General features: G+C 46.3%; 1 annotated feature.

Annotated features, from left to right (window-relative positions):
* Positions 12,934 to 13,721: an enhancer, noted in NCBI's record as "NANOG-H3K27ac-H3K4me1 hESC enhancer chr16:48450115-48450902 (GRCh37/hg19 assembly coordinates)". NCBI's record gives its function as "activates a minimal SCP1, AML or CMV promoter by ChIP-STARR-seq in naive H9 embryonic stem cells {active_cell/tissue: H9 hESC(naive)}" and the evidence as "EXISTENCE:reporter gene assay evidence [ECO:0000049][PMID:30033119]".

A 21,995-nucleotide genomic window follows, 5' to 3' on the forward strand; every position in this document is an offset into this window, starting at 1 on the left:
CCTGTCTTGTCTCCATAACTAAATTGCACAGCAACTGTGACTTCTCCGTGTTTGGTTTCCCCACAGCAGATGGCAAAGGTTATTGAGAAGTTTTTACTGAAGAAAGGTATAAAGTAGGTATGGTGGAGAATAGAAGGAGATAGGACAATTCCAAAGTCATAAAGGTCATTCCAGACTGATTGGTGATGTGCAAAATGTCTCTGTTTTGTTTGTGATGTGGCTGGGATGAAAGAGGTTTTTTTTTTTTTGTGACCAGGGCTGGGCAGGGACAACTTCCTGTCTAGCACCTTCACACATACCTTCAGAGACCATTTCCTCCATCTTCCTTTTGTCCTGGGGAGCTCCCTTAGAATATGTGTCCACTTCTTGTCACTTTGAGTTGATGCTTTATAGACTCCTTGAAGGAAAGTTATAGGATGAAAATAGAAATAGAGCATCAGGGATCATTGTGTTGGGGATATCTTTAAGACATTCTAGAGTTTTAAAAGGTTCCATTTTGTAGATAATTCCTTGATCCTTTTTTTTTTTTTTTTTTTTTTTTTTTTGCAACAGTGTCTCGCTCTGTCACCAGGCTGGGGTGCAATGGCACAATATTGGCTCACAACAACTTCCACCTCCCGGATTCAAGCAATTCTCCTCCCTCGGCCTCCCAGGTAGCTGGGACTACAGGCACAAGCTATCACGCCTAGCTAATTTTTGTATTTTTAGTATAGACGGGGTTTCACCATGTTGGCCAGGATGGTCTCGATCTCTTGACCTCATGATCTGCCCTCCTCGGCCGCCCAAAGTGCTGGGATTACAAGTGTGAGCCACTGTGCCTGATGATCCTCTCTTTCTTGCTGGCTGAATATGCCAACCAAGGTGATTTTCTAAACACAAAGAGAAAAAATGCTGGGTTCCCCTGCCCGGGTTACCTGTTTCTTTCTCTAGTTATTAATGGTGCAAGCTTCTGTTCATCCTCACCTGATAGAATACAATGTAGTGGAAAAGCACAGGATATTTACATGAAAATAGATTTGGGGTGTTCAGTCCCCTGCAAGATGCTTGGTCCAAGAGAATGAGTTATTCACGTAGTAAATAACTAAGCCAGGCCGGGCACAGTGGCTCACACCTGTAATCTCAGCACTTTGGGAGGCTGAGGCTGGTGGATCACCTGAGTTCAGGAGTTTGAGACTAGCCTGGCCAACATAGCGAAACCTCATTTCTACTAAAAATACAAAAATTAGCCAAGCGTGGTGGCACACGCCTGTAATCCTAGCTACTCGGGAGGCTGAGGCAGAAAATCACTTGAGCCTGGGAGGCAGAGGTTGCAGTGAGCCGAGATAGTGCCACTGCACTCTAGCCTGGGCAACAGAGTGAGACTCCGTCTCAAAAAAACAAAACAAAACAAAACAAAAACTAGGCCCTTGCCACTAATCCTGAACACTGGGTACTGAAGGGAGTTGGGGTGCGAGGAGGATCTAACAGATTTCTAGAATTCCTTTGGGAGCTTGAGCTTGACAAGTGTTGCAAGACCCAAAGGCCATGACTGAGAGTGCCCAGGGCTGAGACATGAAGCAAAACCCAGGGTAAGTAGGCATCTCATTAGGCAAGTCTAATTTAGCATCTTTCACATCATTTTTTGTGTGATTTTTTAAAAAACTATGTTAGAGAATTACAGTGGTGCTGCTGCTGCTGCTGCTGTTGTTGTTGTTTTTCTTGGAAAGAGTATAAGATGTTGCCTTGGTTGAATTTGGAGGAAAAGGAAGAAAAAAATATGAGTGCAAGATCTGAGTGGTCACATTTTTTTTTCCTCTGGGTATTAAGAAATAAGGCAGGGCCAGGTGTGGTGGCTCATGCCTGTAATCCCAGCACTTTAGGAAGCCAAGATAGGCAGATCCCTTGAGCCCAGGGGTTTGAGACCAGCCTGAGCAACATGGCAAGACCCCATCTCTACAAAAAAATACAAAAATTAGGCAGGTGTGGAGGTGTATGCCTGCAGTCCCAGCTACTTAGGAGGCTGAGGTGGGAGGATCATTTGAACCCAGCAGCTGGAGACTGCAGTGAGTCATGATTGCACCCTTGCCCTTTAGCCTGGGTGACAGAGTGAGACTCTGCCTAAAAAAAAAAAAGAGAGAGAGAGAGAGAAAGACACAAGGCAGGACATTATGCACCTGGCATCCTTCAAAACCTTGTTACAGCAATAGCGGTGGGCAAGCATAGATGTCCTGACACTGAGGGCCTCAAAGTCAACATAAGGATGTGCATTTGGGAAGCCCAGGTAGTGAAAGGAAAAGGCAAATAAATCCTGTCCCCTCCTGCTCCCTGGCCAGGTCCACACAAAAGAGTCCATTAAACTAATTGGTGACAAAACTCCCAGCAGGGTTAGGTTTCTCCAACTTTCCCTAGAGGAGGATCTCAGATGGCCTCCTTCTGGCTCAGGGGAGCCAGGTCACAGTGACCCCTGGGGATGGGGGCCAGACCATGGCCTGGGAGCTGGAAAACAGCTCAGGCAAGTCATGCACCTTCTTTCTGAGTTTCCCCATCTGGGAACTGAAGGTCTTGGCCTAGAAACTCCTTTCAGCTCTAATTCTGTGTGTTTACACAAACTTTACAAAACAAAACAAAAAAACAAAAGCTCGCTCTAGGAAAACTGTTAACATTTATTAGATATCTACTACCATGTGCCAGCCACTTCACACTAACTCGTTGAATCCTCACAATCTAGGTATACTGGTATACAGGTATACTGTTTGCCCATTTTATAAATGAGGAAATAAGGTTCAGGAAATGCAACCAAAGTCATTACAAATAGGCAGTCATGTAGTTGGCCTTCACACTGAGGTCTGTCTGGGTCCGAAGTTCATTTCTTTCCACCACTCAGCCTCCCTATCTCCTTTATTTCTTTACCACTTTCAATTACAAGTCACTGACTCTGTCAAACATGCTAGGAAGGACAGTTGAAGCCATGCTGCACTCCCCTCAGCCTTCAGTCTCTGCTCTCCAACCTTTTTTTTCTTTTTTCTCGCTATCTCGCCCAGGCTGGAGTGCAGTGGTGTGATCTCAACTCACTGTAACCTCTGCCTCCTGGGTTCAAGTGGTTCTCCTGCGTCAGCCTCCGGAGTTGCTGTGACTATAGGCATGAGCCATCACACCTGGCTAATTTTTGTATTTTTAGTAGAGATGGGGTTTCACCATGTTGGCCAGGCTGGTCTTGAACTCCTGACTTCAGGTGATCCACCTGCCTCGGCCTCCCAAAGTGCTGGGATTACAGGTGTCCAAGCAACGTTGTTCTCTGGGCCATGCTGTATTTTGACTGCAAACATGGGTTGAACCCTTGCTTTGGGCCAGATGCTGTGCTGAGCAACTCCCATGCTCCTGCAGTATCATTACCACCCTATGAGATAGTCACCATGGTCAGCCCCACTGCACAGAGAATAGAACAGATCCAGCGAGCTCAGAAGCTGCACAAGTCAGATGGATTCCTTAGGCTCAGGGAACTTCCATCTGGGAAGTAAAGGTCTTGCCATATGCACTCATAGTGGGTAGTACGTTTTGTACGCTCATCTAGACCGATATCCCCCCTAATCCATGGCTCTGGGCAGCATCATGGAGTTTCTCTTTCATAATCCTGAAAGAGCAACCTGGGGTGGGGGAATTTTGTTCCCACACAACACGCTTGTGTATTGTTATAATTTATTAAATAACTTGTTGTATGACTTTATAATAAAAAGTTATTTATTTACTTGAGACAGGGTCTTGGTCTGTTGCTAAGGCTGCAGTGCAGTGCTGTGATCTTAGCTCACTGTAGTCTCAAACTCCTGGACTCAAGCGATCTTCCCTCCTCAGCATCCCAAGTAACTAGGACAACAGGCATGCACCACCACACCCAGCTAATTTTTAAATTTTTTATACAGATGGGGGTCTCACTATGTTGCCCAGGCTGGTCTAGAACTCCTGGGCTCAAGCCATCCACCCACCTCAGTCCCCCAGAGTGCTGGGATTACAGGTGTCAGCACCACGCCTGGCCTATAATGAGAAGGTTTTATTTTTATTTTTATTTTATTTTTGAGACGGAGTCTTACTGTGTCACCAAGACTGGAGTGCAATGGCACCATCTCGGCTCACTGCAACCTCTGCCTCCCAGGTTCAAGTGATTCTCCTGCCTCAGCCTCCTCAGTAGCTGGGATTACAGGTATCTGCCATCATGCCCAGCTAATTTTTGTATTTTTGTAGAGACGGGGTTTCACCATGTTGGCCAGGCTGGTCTTAAACTCCTGACTTCAGGTGATCTGCCCGCCTCAGCCTCCCAAGTGCTGGGATTACAGGCATGAGTCACAGAGCCCAGCTGAGAAGATTTTTTAATACTAAAAATAAGATATAATTTATTATAAAGACAAAGATAAGTTCTCATATCAAATAAAAGGAGAGAAAATTTCAGGGCCAGGTAAACATTTCAGATATTAGTCCCTCCTCTTCCTCCTGTGTTACAAAAAAATAGTTTGTTTTGTGAGAGGGGGAAAATCAGTAATTGGACCAAATAAAAAGTTTTTACAAATTCATTCACCCATTAAAAAATATATTGTTTTGCTTCCTGTACTAAGTTCAGTGGAGAATAGAAAAATGCATGAGCTTTCATCCCTACCCTCAAGGAATCTACCATCTCACCAGGGAGGTGACTAGAACACGATCATTTGAATAAATGCAGAAGTAAGGCTAGGCACAGTGGCTCACCTCTGTAATCCCAGCAGTTTAGGAGGCTGAGGCTGGAGAATGGTTTGAGTTTAAGAGTTCAAGACCAGCCTGAGCAACATAGTGAGACCACTGTCTCTCCAAAAAAAAAAAAAAAAAAAAAAATTAGCTGGACTTGGTGGTGCACACCTAGAGTCCCAGCTACTTGGGAGGCTGAGGTGGGAGGATCATCTGAGCCCAGGAGGTTGAGGCTGCAGTGAGCTGTGATAACACCACTGTGAGATCCTGTCTCAAAAAAAAAAAGCATGCATGGAAAAATTGAGACTCGGTGTAGGGGCACATCAGAAAGAGAAGGCAGTGCTTCAGTTGGATGCAGGAGATGGGAGGAGAAAGGGAGTGTGGAGAGGGGAGGAGAGGGGGCATGCATGCTGGAGGGGCACAGGGAAATGGAGGCTGGATAAGGGGATTGTTTTGGGGAGGTAAATCTGGACACATCAACTGGAGTCAGATTGGGTCTTTTTTTTTGAGACAGAGTCTTGCTCTGTCACCCAGGCTGGAGAGCAATGGCACCATCTTGGCTCACTGCAACCTTGGCTTCCCAGGTTCAAACAATTCACCTGCCTCAGCCTCCTGAGTAGCTGGGATTACAGACATGTGCCACCATGCCTGGATAATTTTTTCATTTTTAGTACAGATGGGGTTTCACCATATTGACCAGGCTGGTCTCGAAGTCCTAGCCTAAGGTGATCCGCTCACCTCGGCCTTCCAAAGTGCTGGGATTACAGGCATGAGCCACCACGCCCGGCCCAGATTGGGTCTTTAATGCCTAAGAAATGTGGACTAAACTGATGGCTGCTGTGTGTTTGTGGGTTTGTGGAGTCATGGTGCTAAGCAGCTAAGGAAGGCCACACAAGGGAGACAACTGGAAGAATGCAGAAGTGTTGGATGGCTGCCAGTCCCACTGCAGGGAAAGGCAACTGTAGAGGAAGAAAGAGAACAGGGTGAGGGGAGGCTGGGTGCCTGTGAAATGACTCCACTTCACTCCTCCTTGGGAAGCCTGCTCTCCTTTCCCTGGTCGCGGAGAGGCAGCTGCAAGATGCGAGTATTTACTGGAGAGATGAACAGAAATGCTTTACCTGTCCTATAAAGCTATTTCAGGACATGGATTCAGCAAAGATACAGCTTCCATCTTTTCATTTTAGTGAATTTCAAAGTCATATTTCCTTCTACTTTACTGGACATATTGGAGTGACACAAATCTGAGATTCATAGAATTTTAAAATGTTAGAGCTGGAGAAACTTCTATGTTTATAGGATATCTCTACAAACCCTTATTTATTTTTTATTTTATTTTTTTGAGACAGAGTCTTACTCTGTCACCCAGGCTGGAGTGCAGTGGTGTGATCTTGGCTCACTGCAACCTCCACCTCCCGGGTTCAAGTGATTCTCCTGCCTCAGCCTCCTGAGTAGCTGAGACTTCAGGTGTGTGCCACCATGTCTGGCTAATTTTTGTATTTTTAGTAGAGATAGAGTTTCACCATGTTGGCCAGGCTGGTCTCAAACTCCTGACCTCAGGGATCTGCCCACCTTGGTCTCCCAAAGTGCTGAGATTATAGGCGTGAGCCACCAAGCCCAGCCTACAAACCTTATTTAACATCTGACTTTCAACATTTGAATTTGAAGTCCTTTAAAATTGGGTAATGTTTCTTATAATCCTAGGAGGGAAAAGTAAGAGCTTTCTTTTCTCTTTGTTTTCTTCCTCCTTTTAATAAAAACAAATAGACAAAACTGTTTGTTAGATGGAACTTAAGAGAACTTTGTCAAGAGAGAACTTCAAGACGACCTGGAATATCTTTTTTTTTTTTTTTTTTTAGACAGAATTTCCTTCTGTTGCCCAGGCTGGAGTACAGTGGCTTGATCTTAGCTCACTGCAATCTTCTCCTCCCGGGCTCAAGCGATCCTCCCACCTCAGCCTCCCAAGTAGCTGGGACTACAGACACGCTTCTGAGCTCAAGCCATCCAACCGCCTCGGCCTCCCTAAATGCTGGGATTATAGGCATGGGCCAACCATGCCTGGCCAGCCTGGAATATTCTACGTTGACCTCACACACCACCCTTCCCAAAGTGGACTCAAATGCTAGAATCTGCCCTTACTGCAAAGAGAGAGAGGGCTTATCAGTCACTTTCATGAGTCACCCAGGCTGCTGCACATACTAACTATCCAATATGCAGCAACAAATCAGAAGCAGGCCAAGGTTCATGGCATACACACTTGAGCAATCCTCAGAGAGAGGCTGCCAGAAGCCACATGCATTCTACCCCCTCAGCGTTCCTCTCATCCGCCCTTCCTCATCAGCGAGGTGGCTTCCTTGGGGTCTTTCAGAGCTCAAGCGTGGGTGACATCCAGGAAGTGGGCTCTGCCCTTGAGCTCCCAGTGCAGGCCAGGAGCCTCCCTTCTCTAGTCCTGCCCCTTCCTTGGCACTCACACAAGGATTTTGTGACCTCCCTCTGCACCTCCTGAACACTAATTACAGGTGTGTGTCTACACACATGACTACCTCAGAAGCTACAGGACAGCCTCTGTGCACAGAATTCCTTAGGTAAGGGCGAGGGCACAATTGCACAAGCCTTGCCTCGGCCAAGTTTTCCACTAAAAACAAATTGTTACTTGGCAGCCAAAGCAATTAGGCCCAGTTCAGGAAATTATCTACCCCCGAATAGAGCACCAAAACAGTCTGGGACCACCAGCCTTCCCCACCGTCTTCACATGTGGTTCAATAGAACTGAGCAATGCATGTATTTGTTCACAACAATTTATGCAAGAGTTGGATTCAGGAATAAGCAGCTCAAAAATGTATTTATGGCTAACAAAATTAGATGGTTAGAGAAAGATGGGTGGTAGATGTGATGTTCTCAGAGTTAGTTAATTAGCATTACTAGTTTTCGAGCCCTACACTCTTCTTTTTTTTTTTTTTTTTTTTTGAGACAGAAGTCTCCCTCTGCCACCCATGCTGGAGTGCAGTGGCACGATCTTGGCTCACTGCAACCTCTGCCTCCTGGGTTGAACCGATTCTTATGCCTCAGCTTACCAAGTAGCTGGGACTACAGGCATGCACCACTACACCTGGCTAATTTTTGTATTTTTAGTAGAGATGGGGTTTCACCATGTTAGCCAGGCTGGTCTTGAAATCCTGACTTCAAGTGACCCACCAGCCTCAGCCTCCCAAAGTGCTGGATTATAGGCATGCGCCACCACACCCGGCCTTCTTATTATTATTTATAAGAAACCCCACCTTTACTAAGAGTACAAAAATTAGCTGGGCATGGTAGTGCACACCTGTAATCCCAGCTACAGGGAGGTTGAACTCGGGAGGCAGAGGCTGCAGTGAGCCAAGATTGCACCACTGTACTCCAGCCTGGGCAACAGAGTGAGACTCTGTGTAAAAACAACAACAACAAAAATTCTGAGAGGTGAGGGGACAAAAAGGGAGATGAAAATCAGATCCCAGAAGTACAAGCACATGCAGATGTGGAAGCGTGACAGTGCCGATACGAATCCCTGTGGAGAGTGCCCGTGGATGCATATGGGGAATAATAAGAGGTGAGTTCAGGGACAGTCCTGCAGACCATGCTACAGAGCTCCTGTTTTATCTTATGGGTGGGGAGCCATTCAAGAGTGTAAGCAGACAAGCAGGTTTGTGTCTGGGCAAGAGCATTCTGGATGCTAAATCCACAAGGGGTTGGAGAGGGGCACCATCAGCGTCAGGGAGACCAGACAGCCTGTAGCAGTGACCAGGTGAGGGATGATCTGGGCTTTGGTTGTAGCTTGGGTGTAGACAGAAGAAGGTAACCTAGAGGTACATTGTGGGGATAAAATCCATAGGACTAGCTATGGATTGCATATAGGAGGTGAGCAAAAAGGAAAAATTAAAATACTTAAGTGGGCCAGGTGCAGTGGCTTACACCTGTAATCCTAGCACTTTGGGAGGCCGAGTTGGGTGGATTGCTTGAGGTCAGGAGTTTGAGACCAGCCTGGCCAACATGGCGAAACCCCATCTCTATTAAAAATACAAAAATTAGCTGGGCACGTTGGCGCATGCCTGTAACCCCACCTTTTTGGGAGGCTGAGGCAGGAGAACTACTTGAACCCAGAAGGCAGAAGTTGCAGTGAGCTGAGATCATGCCACTGCACTTCAGCCTGGGTGACAGAGCAAGGCTCCGTCTCAAAAACAAATCAAAAAACCAAAAAAACAAAAAAAAAAACACTGAAGTGTCTTGCTTGGGCACTAGGTAGATGCCATTTGTGATGATGGTGCAATGGACTGCATGTTTGCATCCACCCCCCAAAATTCCCAATATGATGGTAATAGGAGGTGGGGCCTTTGAGAGGTAATTAGGTCGTGAGGGTGGATCCCCCCACGAATGAGATTAGTGTCATAAAAGAGACTCCAGAGAGCTCCCTTCAGCCCTCTTCCCACCTTGTGAGGACACGATGAGAAGTCGGCAGTCTGCAACCTGGATGAAGGACTTCACCAGAATCCTACATGCTTGGACCCTGATCTCAGACTTCTAGCCCCCAGAACTGTGAGAAATATATTGCTGCTGTTTATAAGCCACCCAGTCTAAGGTACTTAGCCATAATAGCCCAAACTAAGACAGATATAAAGACTGGGGAGAAGGGTGGAGGGTGTGCTCAGGATGAATTAGGAAAAATCCATCGTTAAGCCTGGAATGCTTACAGGAAACTTAAAATATGCCTGGGGCAAGCCTAGAGAACAATTTAGGAACACTCATGCTTGCCCAGGACCAGACACTGTATTATCCACCTCAAAACTCTGTGTCCTGCGTTTTCCTTTTAGATAGAAAACAAAACCAAAACCCCCCAAAATCCTTTGTGGTTCCCTTTTGCCTAAGCATGGGTTTTAACCTGGATGTGCCCCTGAATCACATTTGAGCTCTCTGGATGCATATCACTTCTTATCTTTTTTTTTTTTTTATACAAGGTCTTGCTCTGTCACCCAGGCTGGAGTGCTGAGGCGCTATCATGGCCAGGCTAGAGTGCAGTGGCGCGATCTCCGCTCACTGCAACCTCCGCCTCCTGGGTTCAAGTGATTCTTCTGCCTCAGCCCCCCAGTAGCTGGGATTACAGCCATGCACCAGTATGTCCAGCTAATTTTTGCATTTTTAGTAGAGGCAGGGTTTTACCATGTTGGCCAGGCTGGTCTCAAACTCCTGCCTTCAAGTGGTCTGCCTGCTTCAGTCTCCCAAAGTGCTGGGATTACAGGCAAGAGCCACTGCACCCGGCCAATTAAAAAATTTTTGTTTCCTAGAGATGGGGTCCCTATGTTGCCCATGCTGGTCATTTAACTCCTGGGCTCCAGTAATCCTCCTTCCTCAGCCTCCAAAGTACTGGGATTATAGATGTGGGACACTGTGCCTGGCCACACCTTTTATCTAAAGGGCTGGGCCCTCTTCTACATGTAGGACACAGAATCGGCCCTGGGTAGGCTGGTTGCACCTGGCAGTTTTTCAAGTACTGTTTATATATTTAAAATTTTCTGTTTGCAAAAGCAATGTATACACATTGTAAAAATTCAAATCATGTGGAAATGTAAACACACACACACACTCCAAAAAACAAAGAACAACAAAACAGAAACCAGGAGTCCCTCCTAAACCCCACTCGCCTGCCCCCACACCTCCCATCAAGGTTTGTTCTTTTTTTTTTTTTTTTCAGTTGAGACAGTCTCACTCTGTTGCCCAAGCTGGAGTGCAGTGGCGTGATCTCAGCTCACTGCAACCTCTGCTTCCCAGGTTCAAGCAATTCTCCTGCCTCAGACTCCCCAGTAGCTGGGATTATAGGCATGCACCACCACGCCCAGCTAATTTTTGTATTTTTAGTAGAGACGGGGTTTTGTCATGTTGGCCAGGCTGGTCTCGAACCCCTGACCTCAGGTGATCTGCCTGCCTCGGATTCCCAAAGTGCTGGGATTACAGGCATGAGCCACCGCGCCCGGCCTAAGATTTGTTCTTAATGTGATGGTGTAATTGGCCAGATCTGGATCTGAAATTGATGCATCCTTTCCGAATCATACTTGTGGGTTGCCAGCAAACAGCCTTGCATGGGAAACTCCCCTTCCTGAGTCACTTGGGGGAAAGCTGAGATGGCCTGAAATTCTAAGAAGGTGTAGGAACTGCAGTGTCAGGAGGGGAAGACTGCAAGACTGCCAACTTGCTGAAATGTGCACAGGGCCAGCCGCCAGGACCATCCCCTCAGTACCCCTGAGCCAGTTAGGAAGTCTGCAACTACTCTACTTACTTTCATTTTTAAAAATCAACACTTCAATTATTTTTATATAAGTAAAATTTTTTTTTAGACACAGAGTCTTGCTCTGTTGTCCAGGTGAATGCAGTGGTGTGATCATAGTTTACTGCAGCCTCAAACTCTTGGGCTCAAGCAAGTCTCCTGTCTGAGCCTCCTGAGTAGCTGGAATTACATTCATATGCCACCATGCCCGGCTAATTTTTTAAACTTTTGTAGAGATGAAGTCTGGCTATGTTGCCCAGGCTAGTCTCAAACTCCTGGGGTCAAGTGATCCTCCTGCCTTGGCCTTCCAAAGCTCTGGGATGACAGACATGAGTCAGTGTGTCCAGTTGTCAATTATTTTAAAATATACAATGGCTGGGCGCAGCAGCTCATGCCTGTAATCCCAGCACTTTGAGAGGCCAAGGTGGGTGGATTGCCTGAGGTCGGGAGTTCGAGACCAGCCTGGCCAACATGGAGAAACCCCACCTCTGCTAAAACTACCAAAAAAAAAAAAAAAAAAACAAAACTAGCTGGGCATGGTGGTGCAAGCCTGTAATCCCAGATACTCGGGAGGCGGAAGCAGGAGAATCACTTGAACCTGGGAGGTGGAGGTTGCGGTGAGCCGAGATTGTGCCACTGCACTCCAGCCTGGGCAACAAGAGTGAAACTTCATCTAAAAAATATATATATATACACAAACAATACATGCTCATAGAGTATTGTATATTTTGGGCTCTGTCGCCCAGGCTGGAGTGCATTGTCACGATCTTGGCTCACTGCAACCTCTGTCTCCCGGGTTCAAACGATTTTTCCGCCTCAGCCTCCCGAGTAGCTGGGATTACAGGCACCCTCATCGTGCCCAGCTAATTCTCATATTTTTGTAGAGACAGGGTTTCACTGTGTTGGCCAGGCTAGTCTTGAACTCCTGACCTCAGGTGATCTGCCCACCTCAGTCTCCCAAAGTGTTGGGATTACAGGCGTAAGCCACCGTGACCAGCCTAGAGGTGCTATCTTAGCTGAAATCTGAACAATGAGTAGGGTTAATCAGGCAAGATGGAGAGTGTATTAGGAACAGGAAACTATAAAGTGCAAAGACTGGAAGGCAGATAGAGGATGGCCCACTGAAAAAATGGAAAGAAATAGTATTTGCAAGAGTTGAAGGACGTATCAGCTAAGCCTTTATACTTTCTCAAGTCAGACTGCCTGGGTGCAAATTCTAACTGCTACTCACTGACTGTATGACCTCAGGCAAATTTCATAACCCCTCTGGGCTCAGCTCCCTCATCTATAAAATGGGCTGGGTTATTTAATCTCCTTCATAGAAAATATACATATATATATTTATTTTCTTTTTCTTTTTCTTTTTTTTTTATTTTTGAGACCGAGTCTCGCTCTGTCACCCAGGCTGGAGTGCAGTGGCGCAATCTTGGCTCACCGCAGCCTCCACCTCCTGGGTTCATGTGATTCTCCTGCTTCAGCATCTCGAGTAGCTGGGATTACAGGTGTGCGCTACCATGCCCAGCTAATTTTTGTATTTTTAGTAGAGACGGAGTTTCACCATGTTGACCAGACTGGTGTTGAACTCCTGACCTCAGGCAGTCCTCCCACCTCAGCCTCCCAAAGTGTTGGGATTACAGGAGTAAGCCACTGCACCCGGCTTTCATAGAATTTTAAATGAGACAGTGTAGGTGAAACTGCTTAGAATAGTGCCTGGCTCATGGTAAGCACAAAATAAGTCTTCGTTGTTTTTTCTTCAAGTTTTATTAAACTTGAACTGACGTGAAAGTCTAGGGTTGGGGGCACGAGGTGAAACTAGAAGGCAAAGCTGAAGAGGGAAGCACAGGGCGGTTCTTGAAGGGCCTTCTTTTTTTTTTTCAAAGAACAAAAATGTGATTGGGGTTATTTATTAGAAGAGCTCGCCAATTCATTTCATTTTTTTTTTTTTTTAGTATTTATTGATCATTCTTGGGTGTTTCTCGGAGAGGGAGATTTGGCAGGGTCATAGGACAATAGTGGAGGGAAGGTCAGCAGATAAACATGAGAACAAGGGCCTCTGGTTTTCCTAGGCAGAGGACCCTGCGGCCTTCCGCAGCGTTTGTGTCCCTGGGTACTTGAGATTAGGGAGTGGTGATGACTCTTAACGAGCATGCTACCTTCAAGCATCTGTTTAACAAAGCACATCTTGCACCGCCCTTAATCCATTTAACCAGGAGTGGACACAGCACATGTTTCAGAGAGCACGGGGTTGGGGGTGAGGTTATAGATTTAACAGCATCCCAAGGCAGAAGAATTTTTCTTAGTACAGAACAAAATGGAGTCTCCTATGTCTACTTCTTTCTACACAGACACAGTAACAATCTGATCTCTCTTTCTTTTCCCCACATTTCTCCCTTTTCTATTCGACAAAACCGCCATCGTCATCATGGCCCGTTCTCAATGAGCTGTTGGGTACACCTCCCAAAAGGGGTGGCGGCCGGGCAGAGGGGCCCCTCACTTCCCAGACGGGGCGGCTGCCGGGGGGAGGGGCTCCTCACTTCTCAGGGCGGCCGGGCAGAGACGCTCCTTACCTCCCAGACGGGGTGGCGGTCTGGCAGAGACACTCCTCAGTTCCCAGACGGGGTCGCAGCCGGGCAGAGGCACTCCTCACATCCCAGACAGGGCCGCGGGGCAGAGGCGCTCCCCACATCTCAGACGACGGGCGACCGGGCAGAGACGCTCCTCACTTCCCAGACGGGATGGCGGCCGGGAAGAGGCGATCCTCACTTCCCAGACTGGGCGGCCGGGCAGAGGGGCTCCTCACATCCCAGACGATGGGCGGCCAGGCAGAGACGCTCCTCACTTCCCAGACGGGGTGGCGGCCGGGCAGAGGCTGCAATCTCGGCGCTTTGGGAGGCCAAGGCAGGCGGCTGGGAGGTGGAGGTTGTAGCTAGCCGAGATCACGCCACTGCACTCCAGCCTGGGCAACATTGAGCACTGAGTGAGCGAGACTCCGCCTGCAATCCCGGCACCTCAGGAGGCCGAGGCGGGCAGATCACTCGCGGTCAGGAGCTGGAGACCAGCCCGGCCAACACGGCAAAACTCGGTCTCCACCAAAAAATACAAAAACCAGTCAGGCGTGGCGGCACGCGCCTGCAATCCCAGGCACTGGGCAGGCTGAGGCAGGAGAATCAGGCAGGGAGGCTGCAGTGAGCCGAGATGGCGGCAGTACAGTCCACCTTGGGCTCGGCATCAGAGGGAGACCGTGGAAAGTGGGAGACAGAGACGGGGAGGGAGAGGGAAACGGGGAGGGAGAGGGAGACGGGGAGGGAGAGGGAGACGGGGAGGGAGAGGGAGACGGGGAGGGAGAGGGAGACGGGGAGGGAGAGGGAGAGAGGGAGAGAGGGAGAGGGCAGGGCCTTCTAATTCATGGTAAGAGGTTGGGACTTTTCTCCTGCAGGGGAATAAATCAATTTCAGGGAACCAAAGAGAAACTAGGAGTGAGGAAAGGCCCATGAAAGTCCTTGTTGAAAGAGCAAGCTCTTGGTGGTAAGTGTTCACCAAGTGCCTATGGTAGACAGACAGGTACAGGCTGGGAGACCTGAGCTTGAATAACTGCTCTGCCAAGGCAGGTGGGGACAAGTGGCATCACTTCTCTGGGCCTGCACCCTCAACTGAGATGGATTTTTTTCGGGGACTGAATGAGAGGGGGAAAGCCAGATGCCTCCTTTCTGCGGTACCCAGCAGAAAGCATGGGTTTGATGTTGGCTGGTGCCTGTGCCCTCAGTCCACACATACATCTTGAGTGTAACAGCTTCAGAATTCTTATTCTACTGCCTTCTCAGCCCTCTTTTTTACTGATATCTGGTGATTATGCAGGATGAACCTCCCCACATTCACCTACCCTAGTTAGAACCATGTTCTGGAGGCTGGACTCCCAACTGCAACTCCGTGTAGCCTGAGCTCTGTCCGGTCGGTGAGTGGTCTGTACATCTCCAGCATCTTACCCCAAACATAGTGATTCTAACTTGATTCAGTGAAATATGCCAATTAGCACTTGTCTGGGAGAAAAGAGGTTCAAATCAAACAAGTTATGCTGGAGTGTGAGACCAGTCTGGGCAATGCTGCAAGACCCTGTCTCTACAAAAAAATAGAAAAACTTAGCAAGGTATGGTGTTGCACAGCTGTATTCCCAGCTGTTTGGGAGGCTTAGTTGAAAGGATCACTTGTGCTGCAGGAGTTAGAGGCTACAGTGAGCTAAAAAAGAATCTAGTTTGAGTCAGTTCAAGTGAGATCCCTGTCTCAAAAATAAATAAATAAAATAAAATAGGCCGGGTGCGGTGGCTCAAGCCTGTAATCCCAGCACTTTGGGAGGCCGAGGTGGGTGGCTCACCTTAGGTCAGGATTTTGAGACCAGCATGTTGATGCTGAAACCCTGCCTCTACTAAAAATACAAAAATTAGCCAGGAGTGGTGCTGGGTACCTATAATAATCTCAGCTACTTGGGATGCTGAGGCAGGACAATTGCTTGAACCCGGGAGGCAAAGTTTGCAGTGAGCCGAGATCATGCCACTTCACTCCAGCCTGGGCAAAAGAGCGAAACTCTGTCTCATAAAAAAATAAATAAATAAAAATAAAATAAAGCCAGAAACAATAAATCTATGATTTTTTGCTAGTCATAGTACTACCATTTTTACTTATGAGTTAAGTAATCCTGAAATAGTAATCGTGTTTTATTAGTTCATCTTCAGTGTCCGGGAAATAGTTAATTGAGTGGAGTAACACAGACATTTATTGAGGTCCTTCTCTGTGCCAGACCTTGGTCTATCCACTGAGGATACAAAGATAAGCAGGACTCAGAGAGTCAGTCTCAGTTACTGGAGTACAAGGTCTGTAGGGGAAGAGGACAAATTATTATATTTTATACTAAATACTAGAGTAGAGGTTATGAACAGTTCCAGGAGAGCCTGCAGGCAAAGCTGCTGGCGTACATCTGTATAGGTTGCACACTGCACAACTCCAGGGCACCACTAACATAGACCAGGGTTTGGCAAACTTGTTCTGTAAATGGCTGGATTTTATATATATATATATATATATATATATATATATATATATATATATAAAATATTATTTTATTTTTTTTTTTCCAGACGGAGTCTTGCTCTCTCACCCAGGCTGGAGTGCAGTGGCACCATCTTGGCTCACTGCAACCTCTGCCTCTTGGGTTCAAGCAATTCTCCTGCCTCAGCCTCTGGAGTGGCTGTGATTACAGGCGTGCGCCATCATGCCTGGCTAATTTTTGTATTTTTAGTAGATACAGGGTTTTACCATGTTGCCCAGGCTGGTCTCGAACCCCTGACCTCGAGATCCTCCTGCCTTGGCCTCCCAAAATGATGGGATTACAGGTGTGAGCTACTGCACCCAGCCAATAGTAAATATTTTATGCTTTGTGGGCCACCATCTCTGCTCTTGTAGCACGAAAGTAGCAATAGACAATATGTAAACAAATAAGCATGGCTGTATTCCACTTTTCATTTTACTTTTAAATTATTTACATCTGTTCAAAAATGAAAATCATTCTTAGTTCATGCAACACACAAAAACAGGTGGTGGGCTGGATTTGTGGATTTGGCCTATGGGCTGGACTTTGCTGATCCTGACATAGATGACCATGAGAATCACCTCCCTTGGAGTTGTACAGCAGGAGGGCCCTGTCTGGAGGTGATCTTAGACAGGCTTCACTCAGAAGTTTCTGTCTGAGCTAGGGTTTTTTTTTTTTTTTGAGACAGAGTCTCACTCTGCTGCCCAGTCTAAAATGCAGTGGTACAATCACAGCTCACTGCAGCCTCAGCCTCCTGGGCTCAAGTGATCCTCCCACCTCAGCCTCCCAAGTAGCTGGGATTACAGGCACACAGCACCATGCCCGGCTAATTTTTGTATTTTTCGTAGGGACGGGGTTTCACCATGTTGCCCAGGCTGGTCTCGAACTCCTGAGCTCAAGCCATCTTCCCACCTTGTCCTCCCAAAGTGCTGGGATTAAAGGCGTGAGCCACTGCACCCTGCCTGAGCTAGGTTTTAAAGGATAAGTAGGTACTGAGTAGGGACACTTCAGGGAAGGGATTATAAGAGAGAACAGCATGGGCAAAGGCACAGGATGGCTGCACTGGAGGGGACAGAGGGAAATGGGACCCAGAAAGATAGGGTGGAGACTGACTGTGAAGGGTCTTGAATGCCATACTTCAAAGTGCAGGCTCTGTCCTGTGGGCAATAGGGAGTCATTCAAGGTTTTAAACAGAAAGTGACATGGTCCAGGATTGCATCATAGGGAGTGAAATGGAAAATGGAAAGCCCAGTTAGGAGGCATGCAAATCAGTCAGAGAGGAGACGGTGAGTGCCAGGTGCAGTGAGTGCCAGGTGCAGTGGCTGGAGCCTGTAATTGCAACTACTCAGGAGGCTGAGGTGGGAGGATGGCTTGAGCCCAGGAGTTTGAGACCAGCCTGGCCAACATAGCAAGACCCTCTCTTTACAAAAAATAGTGCCATAGTGCCAGCTACTCAGGAGGTTGAAGGAGGAGGATGGCTTGAGTCCAGGAGTTTGAGGCTGCAGTGAGCTATGATTGTGCCACTGCACTCCAGCCTGGGCCACAGAGCAAGACCTTGTCTCTTGAAAAAAAAAAAAAAAAAAAGGAGATGGCTAGGACCTAAATAAGCAGGCACAGGGGAGTTAGAGAGAATTCAAAAGTAAACTGGAAAAAAAGGTCAACATCCTTAGCCATTAGGAATTATAACCACATAAGATACCACTTGACATCCACTGCAATGGCTATACTGAAAAAGATAATAAAAAGTGTCGGCAAGGATGTGGAGAAATTGGAACCCTCACCACTGCTGGTGAGAATGGGAAATGGTGCAGCTGCTTTGGGAAACAGTCTGACAGTTCCTCAAAGAAAGCTGCCATATGACCCAGCAATTACACTCCTGAGCATATACCAAGAAAACTGAAAATATATGTTCACGTGAAAACTTGAGCACGAATATTCATGGAAGCATTCATATGGCTATTCATAATAGTCATGAAGTAGTAATGACCTAAATGTCCACCAACCGATGCATGGAGAAATAAAATGTGGTCTATTTATACAATGGAATATTACTTATCAACAAAAAAGAATAGCTGGGCCTGGTGGCTCATGCCTGTAATCCCAGCACTTTGGGAGGCTGAGGCGGGTGGATCACTTGAGGTCAGGAATTCGAGACCAGCCTGGCCAACATGGTGAAACCCTGTCTCTACTAAACATACAAAAATTAGCCGGGTGTGGTGGCATGCGCCTGTAGTCCCAGCTACTAGGGAGGCTGAGGCAGGAGATCACTTGAACCCTGGAGGCAGAGGTTGCAGTGAGCCGTGATCACGCCACTGCACTCCAGACTGGGTTACAGAGAGAGATTCCATCTCAAAAAAAAAAAAAAGAAAGAAAGAAAAACATAAAACAAAAGAACAAAAAACAAGAATATATCCTGCAACATAAATGAACCTTGAAAACATGATAGGCCAGGTACAGTAGCTCACAGCTGTAATCTCGGCACTTTGGAGGGCATAGGTAGGAGGACTGAGACCAGCCTGGGCAACACAGGGGGACTCTGTCTCTATAAAACAAAACAAAACAAACAAAAAAAACCCCATTATGCTAACGAAAGAAGCCAGTCACAGAAGACCAAAGATATGATTCCATTTGTGGGAAATGTCCAGAATAAACAAATCTATATAAAGATAAGTGGTTTCCCAGGGCTGGGGAAGTGGGTGGGGTAATGAAGGATGATTGCCAAAGGTTATACAGTTTTTTGGGGGGTTAAATAAAATGTCCTAAAATTGGTTGTGTTGATGGTTGCACACCTGTGGAAGAAACGAAAAATGATTGAATTGTACATTTTAAATGTGTGAAATGTATAATATGTGAATTATATCTCAATAAAGCTATTTTAAAAGATTACATGAGGCTGGGCATGGTGGCTCATGCCTGTAATCCCATCACTTTGGGAGGCCGAGGCGGGCAGATCACGAGGTCAGGAGTTCAAGACCAGCCTGACCAACATGGTGAAACCCCTTCTCTACTAAAAATACAAAAATTAGCCTAGCATGGTGGCGTGCATCTGTAATTCCAGCTACTCAGGAGGTTGAGGCAGGAGAATCACTTGAACCCGGGAGGCGGAGGTTACCGTGAGCTGAGATCACGCCACTGTACTCCAGCCTGGGTGACAGAGCAAGACTCCATCTCAAAAAAAAAAAAGTTACATGAATGCAACTCAAGAAGCGTAATTATCTCTCTGCATCTCTAAATAAATGATCTGTCAAATGCAATTTAAACCACTCATCGTTGGTTTTAAAATACATGCAGTTTTTGTAATTTAGATTTCTGCATTTTGTTTAATTTAATGCAATGCATATGTGTTCATCTTAGCAATGATATTCCAAAATTCACTCATAAAAAAACTAGAACATTGTAGCCAATAGGGAATTATACATGCAGCAGATCAGATTCAGACTGTGTGGACCTTGCTCTGACTTAGTCCTCACATCTAGTCAGCCAGCCATGCAGACCTTTTCATTTTATTCTGTGTATGTGGGCTTTGAGGGGGGCGGGAATGGAGGGAGTATTATACAATAACAGCTTTATTGATATATAATTCACATACCATACAATTCACTCTTTTTAAGTGTAAAATTCAGGCTGGACACGGATGCTCATGGGTAATCCCAGCACTTTGGGAGGCCAAGGCGGGCAGCTTGCCTGAGCCCAGGAGTTCGAGACCAGCCTGGCAACATGGTGAAACTCCACATCCACAAATAATACAAAAATTAGCCAGGCATAGTGGCATGTGCTTATAGTCACAGCTACTCGGGAGGCTGAGAGGTGGGAGGATTGCTTGAGCCTGGTGGGTTGCAGCTGCAGTGAGCCATGATCGTGCCACTGTACTCCAGCCTGAGTGACAGAGTGTGACCCTGTCTCTAACAACAACAATAAAGTGTACAATTCAATTTTTTTTAGTATATTCATAGAATTGTGCAATGGTCATCACAAATTATTTTTAAAACATTTCGCCATTAAAAAGAAACCCCATATCCATTAGCTATCACCCTTCATTCCCAGATCCCCCAGCCCCCCACCCCTAGGCAACCATTAATCTACTTTCTGTCTGTATAGATTTGCCCATTCTGGACATTTCAAATAAGTGGAGTCAATATAATACATAGCCTTTCATGACTGGCTTCTTTTACTTAACATGTTTTCTTTTCTTTTTCTTTTTCTTATTTATTTATTTTTTTGAGACAGAGTCTTGCTCTATTGCCCAGGCTGGAGTGCAATAGCATGATCTTGGCTCACCACAACCTCCACCTCCTGTCTCAGCCTCCCAAGTAGCTGAGATTACAGGCATGTACCACCGTGCCTGGCTAATTCTGTAGTTTTAGTAGAGACAGGGTCTCTCCATGTTGGTCAGGCTGGTCTCAAACTCACAAACTCAGGTGATCTGCCCACTTCAGCCTCCCAAAGTGCTGGGATTACAGGCGTGAGCCACCATGCCCAGCCTAATCTTTGTATTTTTAGTAGAGATAGGGTTTCACCATGTTGGCTACGCTGGTCTCAAACTCCTGACCTCAGGTGATCTGCCCACCTTGGCCTCCCAAACTGCTAGAATGACAGGCATGGGCCACTGCATCTGGCCCTAACATAATGTTTTCAAAGTTCATAAATGTAGCATGTATTAGTTCTTTGTTCCTTTTTATTGGTGAATAATAATCCATTGTATGGTTATCTTGCATGTTATTTATCCATTTATTAGTTGACGGACATTTGGTTGTTTCTACTTTTTGGTTATTATGAATAAAGCTTCTGTGAACATGTAAAAATTTTTCTGTGGATATACATTTTCATTTTTGGGGGGTACATAACCAGGATTGAAATTGCTGGATCAAATATAACTGTTTTATAACAGCATAGTAGTATTACTTTAGATATTTGATAGAAATAGATTTCAGAGTCTGTTGACTCCAGTTGTCATATGGTGAATTTCTTTCAGTCTAGGGTACTCAGCCACGCAAATAACCACACTTTTAGATATGGATACACACATGGCGAAAGACTGCTTGACTACATAATGCACGAATGCAGCTCTCATTTTTAACCGGAGATAAGCACCTAATAGCATTATGATGCCTTAAAGGGGAACCTTGCCATGCAGTCATCAACCTGTACCTTTTAATTACAACTCATGACAATTACAATGTGGTATTTCCCCTTCCAAATCAAGATGAGAGAGGGTACAGATAACCATGTCCCTTTTTCTTTCTTCTTACATGCTTGTTTGTTTTTGACAAAGGAAACAAACAGAACTAATGATGTAGTAATTTCAGCAGGCCTGGCTCCCACGTTTGGGGAATTTGGTGCAGCCCTGTACCAGTAGTCCTGAGAATTTTCACTCAGCATTCTCATTGCTTTTTTTCTCTTAATTATGGTAAAATATATGCAATATAAAATATGTGATTTTGACTCTTTTTAAGTGCACCATTTAGTGGCATTAATGACATTCACAATATTGCAGAGCCATCACCACTATGTCTGAAATTTTTCCATTACCAAGAACAGAAACTCTGTACCCCTTAGGAAGAACCTCGGCTCAAGTGATCCTCCTGCCTTGGCCTTCTGAGTAGCTGGGATTACAGGCTTGCACCACCATGCCTTGCTACCCTGTATCTTTTTAACAAAAAGTTCTTACTTTCAAGTGTACCTGGGTTCATTTTGTACCAGTTTGAGACAGGGTCTCACCCTGTCACCCAAGCTGGAGTGACACCATCACAGTGGCTCACACCTGTAATCCCAGCACTTTGGGAAGCCGAGGCAGGTGGATCACTTGAGGTCAGGAGTTCGAGATCAGCCTGGCCAACATGACGAAACCTGGTCTCTACAAAAATACAAAAATTAGCTGGGTGTGGTAGCACCTGTAATCCCAGCTACTCGGGAGGCTGAGGTAGGAGAATTGCTTGA

This window comes from Homo sapiens, chromosome 16, assembly GCF_000001405.40.
Source record: "Homo sapiens chromosome 16, GRCh38.p14 Primary Assembly".
NCBI lineage: Eukaryota > Metazoa > Chordata > Mammalia > Primates > Hominidae > Homo > Homo sapiens.